The 13,895-nt window shown below is 42.3% G+C and overlaps 1 protein-coding gene across 13 annotated transcripts in view; it reads left to right on the top strand.

Moving 5' to 3' along the window:
- MGAM (maltase-glucoamylase) overlaps positions 1–13,895 on the top strand; it is a 120,230-nt gene that overhangs the window by 75,861 nt on the left and 30,474 nt on the right. For 10 of the 13 annotated variants that reach the window (XM_017012772.2, XM_047421011.1, XM_011516672.3 and 7 more), the window contains 12 exons: positions 190–324; positions 1,121–1,208; positions 2,006–2,144; positions 2,957–3,090; positions 3,210–3,244; positions 3,337–3,453; positions 4,195–4,343; positions 4,963–5,047; positions 6,269–6,325; positions 8,616–8,740; positions 11,707–11,795; positions 13,825–13,874. The exons of 1 other annotated variant lie outside the window; for it this stretch is intronic. In XM_017012772.2, coding sequence (XP_016868261.1) covers positions 190–324; positions 1,121–1,208; positions 2,006–2,144; positions 2,957–3,090; positions 3,210–3,244; positions 3,337–3,453; positions 4,195–4,343; positions 4,963–5,047; positions 6,269–6,325; positions 8,616–8,740; positions 11,707–11,795; positions 13,825–13,874 — 1,203 coding nt within the window. Of the gene's footprint in view, positions 1–189; positions 325–1,120; positions 1,209–2,005; positions 2,145–2,956; positions 3,091–3,209; positions 3,245–3,336; positions 3,454–4,194; positions 4,344–4,962; positions 5,048–6,268; positions 6,326–8,615; positions 8,741–11,706; positions 11,796–13,824; positions 13,875–13,895 lie in introns of those variants that run through there. 2 more of the 13 variants (NM_004668.3, XM_011516674.3) reach the window with 2 other exon arrangements.

The raw sequence follows: 13,895 nt of genomic DNA on the forward strand, positions 1-13,895 counted from the left end.
GTGCAAATTGCACTAATTTCTCCTCTCATTCTACATTTCTCTAAGAAGTTAATAACATTATTTAGGCCCTGTTCAGGCTGTCTGTCACCATGCAGTTGAAGTATTTGTGTGAGTTGCATTCTCAGTAAGTGCCTGTTTGCTGTCTTCTATATTTGTGTGGGACAAAGAAATTATATTTCTTTTTTATAGCTATATCGAGCTTATGTGGCCTTCCCAGACTTTTTCCGTAATTCAACTGCCAAGTGGTGGAAGAGGGAAATAGAAGAACTATACAACAATCCACAGAATCCAGAGAGGAGCTTGAAGTTTGATGGCATGTGGATTGTAAGTGTGTGTGTGTCTCTGTGTACCAGTGGCTCTTGTCTATCTTTGTGTGCCTAAGTATATGTACCACTGACCTTCAATCAAGAGGATAGTCATTGTCCAAAGAAGACTTTGGACATAGCAGACACTTCTTCCTCTCAGGAGAGGAACTGCCCTGGTAGCCCTCACACCTTCTACCAGACCTGACGCTCCTACTGTAAAACCTGTGAGGCGGGACCAGGCGTGGTGGTTCACGCCTGTAATCCCAGCACTTTGGGAGGCTGAGGTGGGCAGATCACCTGAGGTTGGGAGTTTGAGACCAGCCTGACCAACATGGAGAAACTCCGTCTCTACTAAAAATACAAAATTAGTTGGGTGTGGTGGCACATGCCTATAATCCCAGCTATTTGGGTAGCTGAGGGAGGAGAATCGCTTGAACATAGGAGGCAGAGTTTGCAGTGAGCCAGGATCGCACCATTGCACTCCAGCCTGGGAAACAAGCATAACTCCATCTCAAAGAATGAAAAACAAAACCAAAAAAAAAACCTGGGAGGCAATTTACTAGGAATTTCTGGAAATTTGATTGCCTCACAGCCACCCTGAAAGAGATCTATTTTTTTACCCCTCTAGCCAGTCGTTCTGTAGGAGTGAATTAATCTTTCTAGCCAGTTCTCACCAGGATTTGATGAAGCTCCCAGGGCTGGCATCTACAGAGATTACTGGATGTTGAACAATTTATTCACTACTTCCTTGGCTCAGAATTGGCAGGACGTAATTATCTTAAAAAGTGAGGTATGTCTGTGTTTGGCATTTCTAGGATATGAATGAACCATCAAGCTTCGTGAATGGGGCAGTTTCTCCAGGCTGCAGGGACGCCTCTCTGAACCACCCTCCCTACATGCCACGTAAGAAGCCTTGGCCTCCTTGACTGGCAGAGCCATGACTGGAAGGATTACACTGGAGGAGCCCGAGGCCAGGGGCAGCCCCACAGCTGAGGGCACATCCTCATGGCTGCTGTGGTTTACTGGGGACCAGAGACAAAAGCTCTGCACGTGCTTTACCCAGCCGGGCATGGGCAAGTGACTAGACTCATTGAGCAAATTTCTTGAAATTTGTCCAGAAAGCACTTAGCAGAGCTCATGGCACAAAGGGTTCTCACAGCTGAGTTTCTTAGTTTTTAGGCTTGTGTGAATTCCATCACAGGAATTTCTTGTGTCATCAGTGAGTGGAAATTACTGGCTTCCCCTTATCATGGAGCTGATGGACTTTGGAGTTACACTTGGGTTCATATCTTGGCTCCAGAAATTGTTCTCTCTAGGAGTTTTGTGACTTTTCACAGATTATGTGATATTTCCAAATCTCAGTTTGCTAAATTGTAAAAGACGGATAATGAGATCTTCTTCATAGAATTATGGAAATAATTGGAAGTCAAAAGCCTAAATCAGAGCCCGTCATGTAGTGTTTGACAGCTGTACGTTCTTCCTGACACCTCTGCTTCCTTCAGTGAACTTGATGTTGGAAACACAGCAGGCGCCAATGCAGCTCAGAGCTGGGGGCGCTGTGCTCATGTCTCTGGGGAGATGGAGAGCGACACAGGCAGGACTGAAGTTAGTCTTAAGATCCAGGGCCCAGTCCCTTGAAGAGAAGTCAGGGAGAAACAGAATCAGGGCTGGGTTTCACCTCGCCAGTTCTTCCTCCTCAGATTTGGAGTCCAGGGACAGGGGCCTGAGCAGCAAGACCCTTTGTATGGAGAGTCAGCAGATCCTCCCAGACGGCTCCCTGGTGCAGCACTACAACGTGCACAACCTGTATGGGTGGTCCCAGACCAGACCCACATACGAGTGAGTCTCCGTCTCCCTTCTCCAGCTGTCACAACCTATAGCGATTGCCAGTGACTGACATAGCTACCCTAGTTTTCCTTTCATTCCATTTCTAAGGATTAAGAAGATTCTCATAACTCTGTAATGATTCTTATTTATTAAACAAATGCTCATTGACATGGAGCCAGGCCCTGTGATTAAAAGTAGGAGGACAGATTTAAATAAGGCATGGTCCCACCAGTGAAAAACTTAATGATCCTAGTGGGAAAGACTCACATGGAGACACCATAATGGTCACACAGGGCAGCCAGTGGAACAATAGCTTTAGTTACAGGAGGTGAAGGGAACACAGAGGACTGGGCATCTCTCCCGTTCATTTCAAAGTGAATCATCTTTGGAGATGTTTGTATTTTTGGCCATTCTTGGTGGAGGGTAACTGGTATTGTACTGAATTAGCACAGTCCTGCTTTGCAAGCTCAATGAATAGTATGAATTCTTCTAAGAGGATCTTATAACCTTCACTGTGTTCCTTCTCAAATATAGAAAACTAAGTATTGAGGAAACCATTAGCAAGACATAGTAATTCCTTAGTATTTTGGGAGTACTCCAGTGAGGCTGCTACAGTGAAGTTCTTTGTAAAGCACTGTGAGAACACGTGACTCATTATCTCCATCATCTGGGATCAGTGGAACTCCTATTACAGCTCAGAGTCCCATGTTCCCTCCAGTCACGCAGCAAACATTGACTAGGCTCAAGGGCTCTGGGAGCAGAAGCTCTATGGCCTTTACTCCCTGGCTGTTGCCTCAGTTCACCTCCTGTTCCCTTCCAAGCAGAGCCGTGCAGGAGGTGACGGGACAGCGAGGGGTCGTCATCACCCGCTCCACATTTCCCTCTTCTGGCCGCTGGGCAGGACATTGGCTGGGAGACAACACGGCCGCATGGGATCAGCTGAAGAAGTCTATCATTGGTGCGTGGGTCCTTCCCCAGGGCCTTTGCCGACAGGGCAGGGAGTTGGGATCCTTAGGGAAGAGGTGAGGAGGCAGATCATGAGAGCCTGGTGTGACACAGCTGTGCTTCTCGTTGCAGGCATGATGGAGTTCAGCCTCTTTGGCATATCCTATGTGAGTGTCCTTGGGATCCTCCTAAGCACCAAGAAGGTGGGGACATCTTTCAGAAATCATCAGCAGGCTCCTTTTATTTCCTCTTGTTTCAGACGGGAGCAGATATCTGTGGGTTCTTTCAAGACGCTGAGTACGAGATGTGTGTTCGCTGGATGCAGCTGGGGGCCTTTTACCCCTTCTCAAGAAACCACAATACCATTGGGACCAGGGTAGGACAGTGGCTTCTACCTCCACTGTTTTATGTCACTTGAAAGACAGTCTCCATTTCTGTGCTAAAAGTAATGCAGTCTCTATTTCCTGGGATATCTTTAAAAAAAGGTGTTTTTTTTTGTTTTGTTTTGTTTTGTTTTTTTTTTTGAAACAGGGATTTACTCTGTTGGCCAGGCTGAATCGTGCAGTGTCCCAATCATGGCTGACTGCAGCCTCCACCTCTGGGGCTAAAGCGATTGTCCCACGTCAGCCTTCTGAATAGCTGGGATAAAGGCACATCCCAGCGTGGCTACCTAATTTTTGATTTTTTGTAGAAATGGGATCTTGCCATATTTCACAGGATGGTCTCGAACTCCTGGGCTCAAGCGATCCACTCGACAGCCTCCAAAAGTGCTGGGATTACAGGCGTGAGCCACTGCACCCTTAAAAATTGTGAAGACCTGGTGTCTCAATGAACCATATTCCTCATTGTGCTTTAGATTATTATTTTTTTCCTGTATTTCAGGCAGAATTTTACCAAATGTTCCAAAAAGAATGTCTTACAGTGAAATTTTATCAGCTGTCTTAGGAGAGCTTTGGTGACTCTTTCCGGTCTATTAAGAATATTCTCTGGGCCTCATGTATAGTTTTCTTTTGTTTAGCTGTGAGTGATCTTCAATTGGAGTATGCTTTTAGTGACCTTCTTAAATCCCCTAGAAATTCCAGGGCGAGCTCCCAACACTGTTCTCTTTCTCCTTTAGAGACAAGACCCTGTGTCCTGGGATGCTGCTTTTGTGAATATTTCCAGAAATGTCCTGCAGACCAGATACACCCTGTTGCCATATCTGTATACCTTGATGCAAAAGGCCCACACGGAGGGCGTCACTGTTGTGCGGCCTCTGCTCCATGAGTGAGTGTCCAGCAGGGATCCCGATGACTAATGGATGACTTATTGCATTCTATGTGGTAGCAGTTGATATACACAACGCTTCCAAATTAAAGACATGATGGCCTTTTGACATGAGCTCTTCAGACACAAAGTATACCTGATTACTGTCTTTAGCACAGTGTTATACATACCGTAGGTCATAAAAAAAGGGTATTTATTGAATGACGAAAATTGAAATGATGCAGTACAGCATAGAATAGTTTCATTCTAATTTGGTTGTGCAAAGGCCTATCTTATGTAGCAGTTTTGTTATATGGACCCAGGTCACAAAAGAAGGATTTCAGCAAGAGAATTGAGGGACGAGGGCCATCCTCACATTTAAAATGTGCCATGGTTAAGAAATGAGGTAATATTTTACAGGAGAGAACACATCTACATCCCAGCATTTCTGAAGTTTGAGGCACATCCCATGGGGAAAGCAGAGGCTGGGTGCTCCTGATGAAGCTAGGCCTAGGAACAAAGCAAGGATGGCTCAGGGGCAGCTGTATTTCCGACTTGGATCTGAACTTGAGGAGCTTCTTCAGAGTGTCGGGCTGGGGCTCTGTTGGGCTCTGTTGGGCACCTTCATTTCCCTTTCCAGGTTTGTGTCAGACCAGGTGACATGGGACATAGACAGTCAGTTCCTGCTGGGCCCAGCCTTCCTGGTCAGCCCTGTCCTGGAGCGCGTGAGTATGGAGGCCTCCGATGAGGGGAGGATCCCAGCTGTGAGGCTTGGGGAAAAGGACGAGGAGAAGAGGCCTGAGCTGGTGGGGGTCCTGAGACATGGTTTCTTATTCTACCTGTGTCTCTTCCTCTCTTTCTGAGCTGAAGTCCATCACTTAGGTGTTCTTGGCACTCAGCTCCTTCATCTTTAAAATGAGCCTAACAATTCTGGTTCGTAGGATGATCAAGAAGAAAACACCTCATGGAATAGTCAATGACACAATCATTTCTTCGTTAACTAAAATAATTAATAGAAGGTCAGATGGGGGCAGTATTGTAAAAAATTTATAACAGTCCTCTAGCACTATTACAACTTTTCAGAAGGATGACTTGGCAATGTGTGTACTTGTATTGCTGCTGGCTAACCCTTCCCTTCCTCTACAGGAGCTCCTCCCAGCAGTAAAAGCCATTTCTTTACTTCTGTTGTTGATTAGGCTTCTGATTAAAATATCAATTAATTGTACCTCCCTCAAATATATATATATATATATATATATATATAAATATATATATATATATATATATTTTTTTTTTTTTTTTTTTGAGACAGAGTCTCACTCTGTTGCCCAGGCTGGAGTGCAGTGGCATGATCTTGGCTCATTCAACCTCTGCCTCCTGGGTTCTAGTGATTCTCTTGCCTTAGCCTCTTGAGTAGCTGAGACTACAGGCATGTGCCACCATTCCCGGCTAATTTTTTTTTCTTTTTTTGTATGTTTAGTAGAGATGGGGTTTCACTGTATTAGCCAGGATGGTCTCAATATCCTGACCTCATGATCTGCCTGACTTGGACTCCCAAAGAGCTGGGATTACAGGCATGAGCCATCGCGCCCGGCCCCAAAATCTCATTATACCCACAAAATTTTCTTCTGCCCCAGACACAACCTCCCTTGTTTGTCTCTTTAAGAGTCAAAGGGGTAAGTCTATGTCTATAAGCAAACAGTGATTTATTTTTTCCCGAAGTCCTGGATATCAAAGTGCTTTATGAAAGCCACTTGTTTTGGGTAGACAAATCTCTGGTTTAAAAAAGAAAACAGGAAGAAGGTTGCCCCAGTTGTTAACCTCTTGGGACATGAGGCAGCTGGGTCCAAAGCCATCACAATTATTTCACCTCTTTCCTAAGCAGTTTGGTTACTCTGTCCTGGAAAATGGTGGCACTGCCTCACCTTGTTTGTGTTTCATTTTAGAATGCCAGAAATGTCACTGCATATTTCCCTAGAGCCCGTTGGTACGATTACTACACGGTAAGTTTTTCTGAATGTTTATATAACACGGGAATGTGGTAGAGAGTACAAAGGCTTTAGGTCCGATAGACCTTAGGTCAAATGCTGGCTCTGTAACCCACCTGCTGTGTGGTCTTAGAGAAGCCACTTTAACCCTTGTAATCTCAGTTTTCTCACCTCCAAGTGGGGTAAGACCACTTTCCTCATAGAACCATTGTGAAATAACACATAAAGCATCTCACTCAGGGTCTGTTTTTTTGTGGGTGTTCTCTTTGTGTTAGTTTTTAATATTTCTTTATATCACTGCTATTTACAATGTTGTGTAAAGGCAGATGCTAGCCAACATCTGAGATTGTGTTGCAAACTATAGTTTTTGTTTTTATTGTTGATATCTTTGCCTGCTGTAAGTTTGTAAGCATAGAGGCCGTTTTGTCTCTTTTGATTAAATACCTCCTTCCATAGCATAGATGCTCAAAGAGGGGCGCTGCACATAATTACATAAGGCACACAAGTGATTAGGCAATGTGCAAAACACACACAGAGGTATGGGACCCAACCCTTGTGTGTCTAAGTAGTGCAAGTGCATTTAGAAATGAGGAAGCAATGAAGAGCTCCTTGCCGCATAGTTTCATTGCTAGTATGATTCCCAAAGACTCAGCTGGGAAGCCAGGGTCTTCCCGGGCAGCTCTGGGGTGGTGGGCTCTTGCTGGGACCCTGACAAATCAGACCCTGATTCTTGGGGAAGAATCAAAGGAGGTATTTCCTTCGTTTCTAACTAGGCCTCTTCTTCTGACTTTCTGAGGAGAACATAGTTGAGGGCTGGAAATACAACAAAGGGGTACAAGCAGGGATACAGGAAGCAGAGCATGTGCTGGCCCCTTTCATCCAAGGAGATTTCAGTGAGATTAAGTGAAAAGTGGAGAAGGATGTGCAATTTTGTTCCTTCTCTTCTCAGTCCATTGGAGCCCAAGTCCTCTCCACAGCCCCAGACTCCTCTTCCTGCTGCTAGTCTGGATCTGCCCTTAGGGTGGTAACATGTTAAGGCTCTGCTATGTGTGTCCCAGCCAGGCGTTTCCCAGGAAGAGGTGGCCAGCTTTCTTTACGTGAGACTGGCCTTTGTCCTGAGTGTGCATGTTGAGTCTCCCATTCACTACCAGAAGATATCTTTGATGGAAGAGGGAAAGACAAAAGAAGTCATGGAGCAAGCTGTTTAGAAAAAGATGAAATTGGGCCAGGTGTGGTGGCTCACACCTGTAATCCCAGGACTTTGGGAGGCCGAGATGGACAGATCACAAGGTCAGGAGATCGAGACCATCCTAGCTAACACGGTGAAACCCCATCTCTATGAAAAATAAAAACAATTAGCCGGGTGTAGGGGCATGCACCTGTAGTCCCAGCTACTCGGGAGGCTGAGGCATGACAATTGTTTGAACCTGGGAGGCGGAGGTTGCAGTGAGCTGAGATTGTGCCACTGCACTCCAGCCTGGGTGACGGAACCAGACTTTGTCTCAAGAAAAAAAAAAAAAAGAAAGAGATGAAATTTTTAATGTTTAATTAAAATGAAGATGAATCTCATAATTAGGATTAATGAAGAAGTGTCACCTTAATTAATCTTCCCAAGTTTGGGTAACTATTACTCATTCTAGAGCACAAGCTGGCAAACTATGGCCCACAGCCAAATCTGGTTGTTAGCTGATTTGCAAATAAAGTTTTAGTGGAACACAGCCATGCATATTTGTTTGCTTGTTGTCAACAATAACTGCTTCTTACCTGTAAAGTAGCAGCTCTGAAATGAGAGGATTTTGCCTACCAGGGGACATTTGGCAATGCCTGGAGATATTTTTGGTTGTCACAACAGGCTGGGGGTGAGGAGGCTATGCGGCTGACATCTGAGGATTCTGCTAAATATCAAAAGGCACAGGATAGCCCCATCGCCAGAGAATTGTCTGGCCCCAAATCTCAATAGTGCTGAGACTGAAAAGCCCTGCTCTAGTTGAGAACATGTAGGATGGAAGGATGGTCCCTTAGGTTCTGATACAGGTGAGAGTGTAGCAGTTCTTCCTGTTACACATCAGGCAAATGTAGTTTGTATGGTGGAAGCAAAGGTAAGAGACCCTAACAAGATATTATAGCAGCCTTGCGAGGTTTTATGCAGCACTGTGCGAATGCAGAATGGGTAATAGCAGGTATGTTGCAAAGGGTGATGAACAGGCATAAGTTCAGAGGGGAGGATGAGATGTCTGGCAGGATGCATTGTTCAGGGAGGGGCCTGTCCTCTCCTTCATCATCTTTTACCTTCTTCTGCCCCCAGGGTGTGGATATTAATGCAAGAGGAGAGTGGAAGACCTTGCCAGCCCCTCTTGACCACATTAATCTTCATGTCCGTGGGGGCTACATCCTGCCCTGGCAAGAGCCTGCACTGAACACCCACTTAAGGTGAATGACAGGACTCAGGTTTTCCTTTACATTTCAGTTAGCTCAACAATTTGTGATGAAGTCTACCAAAATGTAAGCATCACTTTCAAACCCACATGCAATTCTACTCAACACTTGTTTTTTCTTTGTTTTGTTGTTTGTGTGTTAATCTTTTTCAGACTCTATACTTTTTGTCTAATTATTAACAACTCTTTTAAGTCTAAGGGAGTGAGATGAAAGGTCTAAGAATGTCATTTTTTAAATCTCACATCTGACATGGAAGTCAAAATAAGAGCAACCACAATTCACAAGAGCTTTTCAGAAGCTGTTGTTTTAGAACTGTATCCAGTAGATTTTGAAAGACTGTAATTCATGTCCTTCCTTAAACCCTTTGAATTTCTTTTCAAACACGCTAACAGCCAGGTGGTCAGCCTCCTTGGTTTGCCAGGACTGATGCATTTTAGCACCAGAACTCTCCTCTCTTGAGATGCTTCTCAATTCTGGGTAAACCAGGTCAGTTGATGCCTCTATCTGCCTTGGCCACACTGCTCACCCATGTTTCTTTACTCTTGAATCACTTATTCTCATTTTAGGAGGGTCAGGATCCACTTTCCACCCTCCTAGAATCTCAACTTCCTCTTTCTTTTCTCCCGCTAAGAGATTTCTTTCTTGTGATTCAAAAGTGGATTCAAAAAAACCCTCAAAAGTCTATGTCACTGAATTTTGCTTTATACGTAATTGATTCCAAAATTATAGATTCCATCTGTACTAAAGAGGTGTGCATTTATATCTTCATGCCTTTGAGAGTATTAACCTATTTGTCTTTAATAGACTAGGAGTTCTTTGGAAGCCAGAAACCTGTCTTTTCTTTTGAACCTCTCTTACTGCTTTAATTTTTCAAATTCTAGACTTTTTTATGATACTAATGGGAAATATCCCTAAATCCAATACCAGTTGGCTTCCATTTTCTAACTGTTCACCTTCAAGCTGTTCTGTACAGTGATACCAAATTGATTTTTCCAAAATGAAAATCTCAACTGGTTGCTCCCAGGCTTGAAGTCCAAAGTCTTTCATTAATAGGGTATTCAAAACCAATCACAACCTGGTTCCACGTTACCTTAACAACTCTTATCTCCTGCCATACCTCCATGTACATACAGACCAGGTATGCCAAAAAACTGGCGATTTCCCAAACATACCCATGTATTTTACTGCATGTGGGCTTTTGAATTTATCCTTTCCAACATCTGTGCCTGGTGTATTCTTAATGATCCAAATGAAACTTTACGTTTCAGCAGCAAGAAGTCTTTCCCTAATCTTCCAGCAGAGGAAGCACTGCCACTTCCAAGTTTCTGGTCATTTGTAATATATATTTATTTGCTCCTTAGATGATTTTGTCTTTCTTCTTTAGCAGTGTTAGCATTTCAATAGTAGTTGCATACTCTGTGCATGAAAATTGTAGTATCTGAAGTGTTTAGGACCATCTAAATCTATTGTTAGTTCTTTGTTGCTGACTTTCCTTTATGTTGACTTATTACCTTGTGTGCTTGGTGATTTTTTGTTTCATACTGTGATAATCTTAAGCATCTAAATGTGGGTCTCCTTCCTCCAGAGATGATTTGCCTTCTCCTCTATTTGCAAGCCAGGAATTCCTTCCATCTGACATCACGTTAACTTCCATCAAGGATCCCGGCTTCATGTGGGAATCAGAGGTTCACATTCTGTACCTTGGATTACTAGGCTTAATAGCCCAATTTTAACCTTGCTGTGGGAATTTGCCACATGGAGATTCTAGGTTTTGCTTACTAAGCACCCTTTGAGTTCTAGCTCAGTGTTTTGCTATCCTGTTATTGTTTTGGTCTCTTGAGTATATTCCTTACTGTCTTGCAAATCCAAGAACATTTTAGCAGGAATATATGTTATAATTTATCTAGGATCAGGTAATATTTTACTGGGTAAGTCTCCAGAAGAATATACAGTCTACCATATTTGTAGAACTGTGTTTCTGGACTCCTAGAATATCTTAAATTTGTGTTGTTTTCACTGTCTGCGTTCATTTTTTAGTGAATGTGCCTAATTTTTCCTATAATATTGAAGGTCGTTCAGGTCAGGGGTTGTGATTTATTAATTTTTGTATCTCATTGACTTCCTAGAAATGACTGCTACTCAATACATGAATATTTAAAGAAAGCAGATGATTTTGTTGATAATGGAAACTAACTCTCTTGCATAGTGAAAGGCTGAACTGTGGAAGAATACAGTGGAGAATGTGAGTCCAGTGAGAGACAGAGGAGGAATAGGAAGAGCAGGAAACTGAGAGGTTGCCTAGAGAGTGACAGAGTGAGGAGAGATTCCAAATAAAAATTGCTCTCTATCCTCTTCTTCCTCTATGTCCATCTACTCTACCATGTCTTTAAGTAATGTGTTGTGTTTCCTATTCTAAATTCTAAAGTAGATCATTAGAATGATTTATTTTTCTTTCAAAACAAACTAATAATAAATAATCAGATACATTACCATTTAGTAGATGGACCTTAGTGTATGTTGTTGCTTTCTGAGTATAAATGGTCCTTAGGCAGGCGAAAATGTATCTTCCTCACAGCACTGGACACTTCTCCTGAGGGCATCATTGCTAAAGTGATCTGACTGAACCAGTTATTGCCTAAGATTTCTTTCTCTTCTCATACTCTGTATTCCGAACAGTGGTTGCAGAAGCAGCTTTTATTTGAGCTATTGCAGTGCCTCTGGTGCTTAAATTCTTGCCTCCAACGTAGATGTTATTGTTAATGTTTGGGGTGTTTCTATCTCCTGTGACACTGTTGATATTATAGAAAAATGCATCTGTCGATTTTGTGTTTGTACCTCAAGAAACAGAACCATCTGCTGCTAGTATCTTTTCCAGTTTGAAATTTGATGGAAATATTCTCAGCCCAGTTGGCAAAATTGTCTGACTCCTGTCTTTGTCTCTTGAATCTTGTTCCCCACAGTCGAAAGAACCCTCTTGGTCTTATTATTGCCCTAGATGAAAACAAAGAAGCAAAAGGAGAACTTTTCTGGGATGATGGGCAAACAAAGGGTGAGCGCTGTTACAATAATGTTGCTGTTTCCCAACCTGCGCCTGTGACTTATGGTCCTTCACTCCTGCTGGTCATTCAGCTGTGGGAGAAATCTCAGCAGGCACAGTAGCAAGAGTCACTTAAGTATTTTGTTTCTGGTTGCACCATTCAGGGATAGTGGTGGACGAACTACTGACGAAAGAAAAATGCATTTGTATCTCTGACAGTTCTCCCATTCGCCAGTGATACCTATAATGGCTCTTATTTTATTGTCAATGGGTGCTTAGATGAGAAGGTTTCAAGACTGTTCCCTAATTCTATGTTAATGTCTTCCTCCGAAAATTCTTATGAGCAAATGTTGACGATATAAAAATCATGCACCTGCCAGTGAGGCAGTGAGAATATACTGTTCTAGTGTGTACTCAGCTAGCCATACGTTTTAGCATATTTGTGGGTCCAGTATACTAACAATTCTTGTTCTTCAAGTTTAGGAAATAGATTCCTTTGAAGCATATGCCTTGGAAGCCCTTGGAAGGGAATCTTTGCAATGTTCTGGTAGAAAAGAGAAGGAAAAACAATGGCTTGGCCTTGGAGACTCTTGTCCCTCTAATCCAATATGTAGATTAAAAATTAATTATTTATTTGGTAGTCAAATATTTTGTTGGCAAATAAAGATTGAATATATTTAAGGTGGACGATGTGAGGATTTAATATATGTAGGCATAGTATAATGATTACCACAGCTATTTTAATGAACACATCCATCACTACCAATGCTGCAGACTGGATCCCCAGAACTTATTCATCTAAGAACTGAAAGTTTGTACCCTTGACCATCATCTCCCCATTTTCCACTTCTGCAGGCTCTAAGAACAACTGTTGTAGGCTCTGCTTCTAAGAGATGAACTTTTTTAGATTCCACATATGAGTGAGACCACGCAGTATTGGACTTTCTGTCTCTGGCTTATTTCACTTAGTATAATGTCCTCCTAAGTCATTCATGCTGTTGCGAATGGCAGAATATTCTTCTTTCTATGTCTGAAAAATATTCTACTGTATATATGTACCAGAACATCTTTATCTATTCATCCACTGATAGACACTTAGGTTGTTTTCATATCTTGGCTACTGTGAAGAAAGAAATTAAAAATTGAAATGTAAGGGCTAAAATTGTAAAGCTCCTAGAAGAAAACATAGCAAAAAACCTCCTTGACGTAGTCTTGGCAATGACTTTTTGGATATGATACCAAAAGCAAAGGCAAAATGCCAAAAAGTAAACAGGCGTGACTACATCAAACTAAAAGGCTCCTGCACAGCAAAAGAAACAATCAACAACATGAAAAGGCAAACTACAGAATGGATAAAAATGTTTGCAAACCATATATCTCAGAAGAGATTAATATCAAAAAATAAGGAACATATGCAACTCAGTAGCAAAAGATCAAATGACCCAATTAAAAAGTGGGTGAAGGACCTGAACAGATGTTTTTCCAAGGAAGACATACAAGTGGCTAACTGGTATGTGAAAAGATGCTCAGCATCAGTAAATGACACAGGTATGCAAGTCAAAAATCACAGCGAGATGTCACCTCACACCTGTTAGCATGGAAATCATAAAAAAGAAAGGAGAGAAGTGCTGGTGAGGGTGTGGAGAAAATAGAATTTTTTAGACTGTTGGTGGGACTGTAAATTGTTACAACCATTATGGAAAATAGAATGGAGGTTCCTCAAAAAATTAAAAACAGAACTTCCATACAATCCCATGAATTCCCACTTCTGGGTGTATATCCAGAGGACATGAAACCAGTATCTTTAAGAGATATACTCACTCCTCCCATATTCATTACAGCATTACTTGCAACAGCCAAGATATGGAAACATTCTAAGTATACATTGATGAATGAATACAATGGAATATTATTCATCCATAAGGTAAAGGAAATACTGCCATTTGTGACATCAGGATGTAACTGAAAAGAGTGGGAGTGTGAAATCTGTTCTTCTGTGGTGGGCAAGCCGGAGTCTGACTTGTCTTTCTGTCACTTTCAGATACTGTGGCCAAGAAAGTATATCTTTTATGTGAGTTTTCTGTCACTCAAGTGAGTAGCATATTTTTATGA

The sequence above is a fragment of the Homo sapiens genome, chromosome 7 (assembly GCF_000001405.40).
Source record: "Homo sapiens chromosome 7, GRCh38.p14 Primary Assembly".
Lineage (NCBI taxonomy): Eukaryota > Metazoa > Chordata > Mammalia > Primates > Hominidae > Homo > Homo sapiens.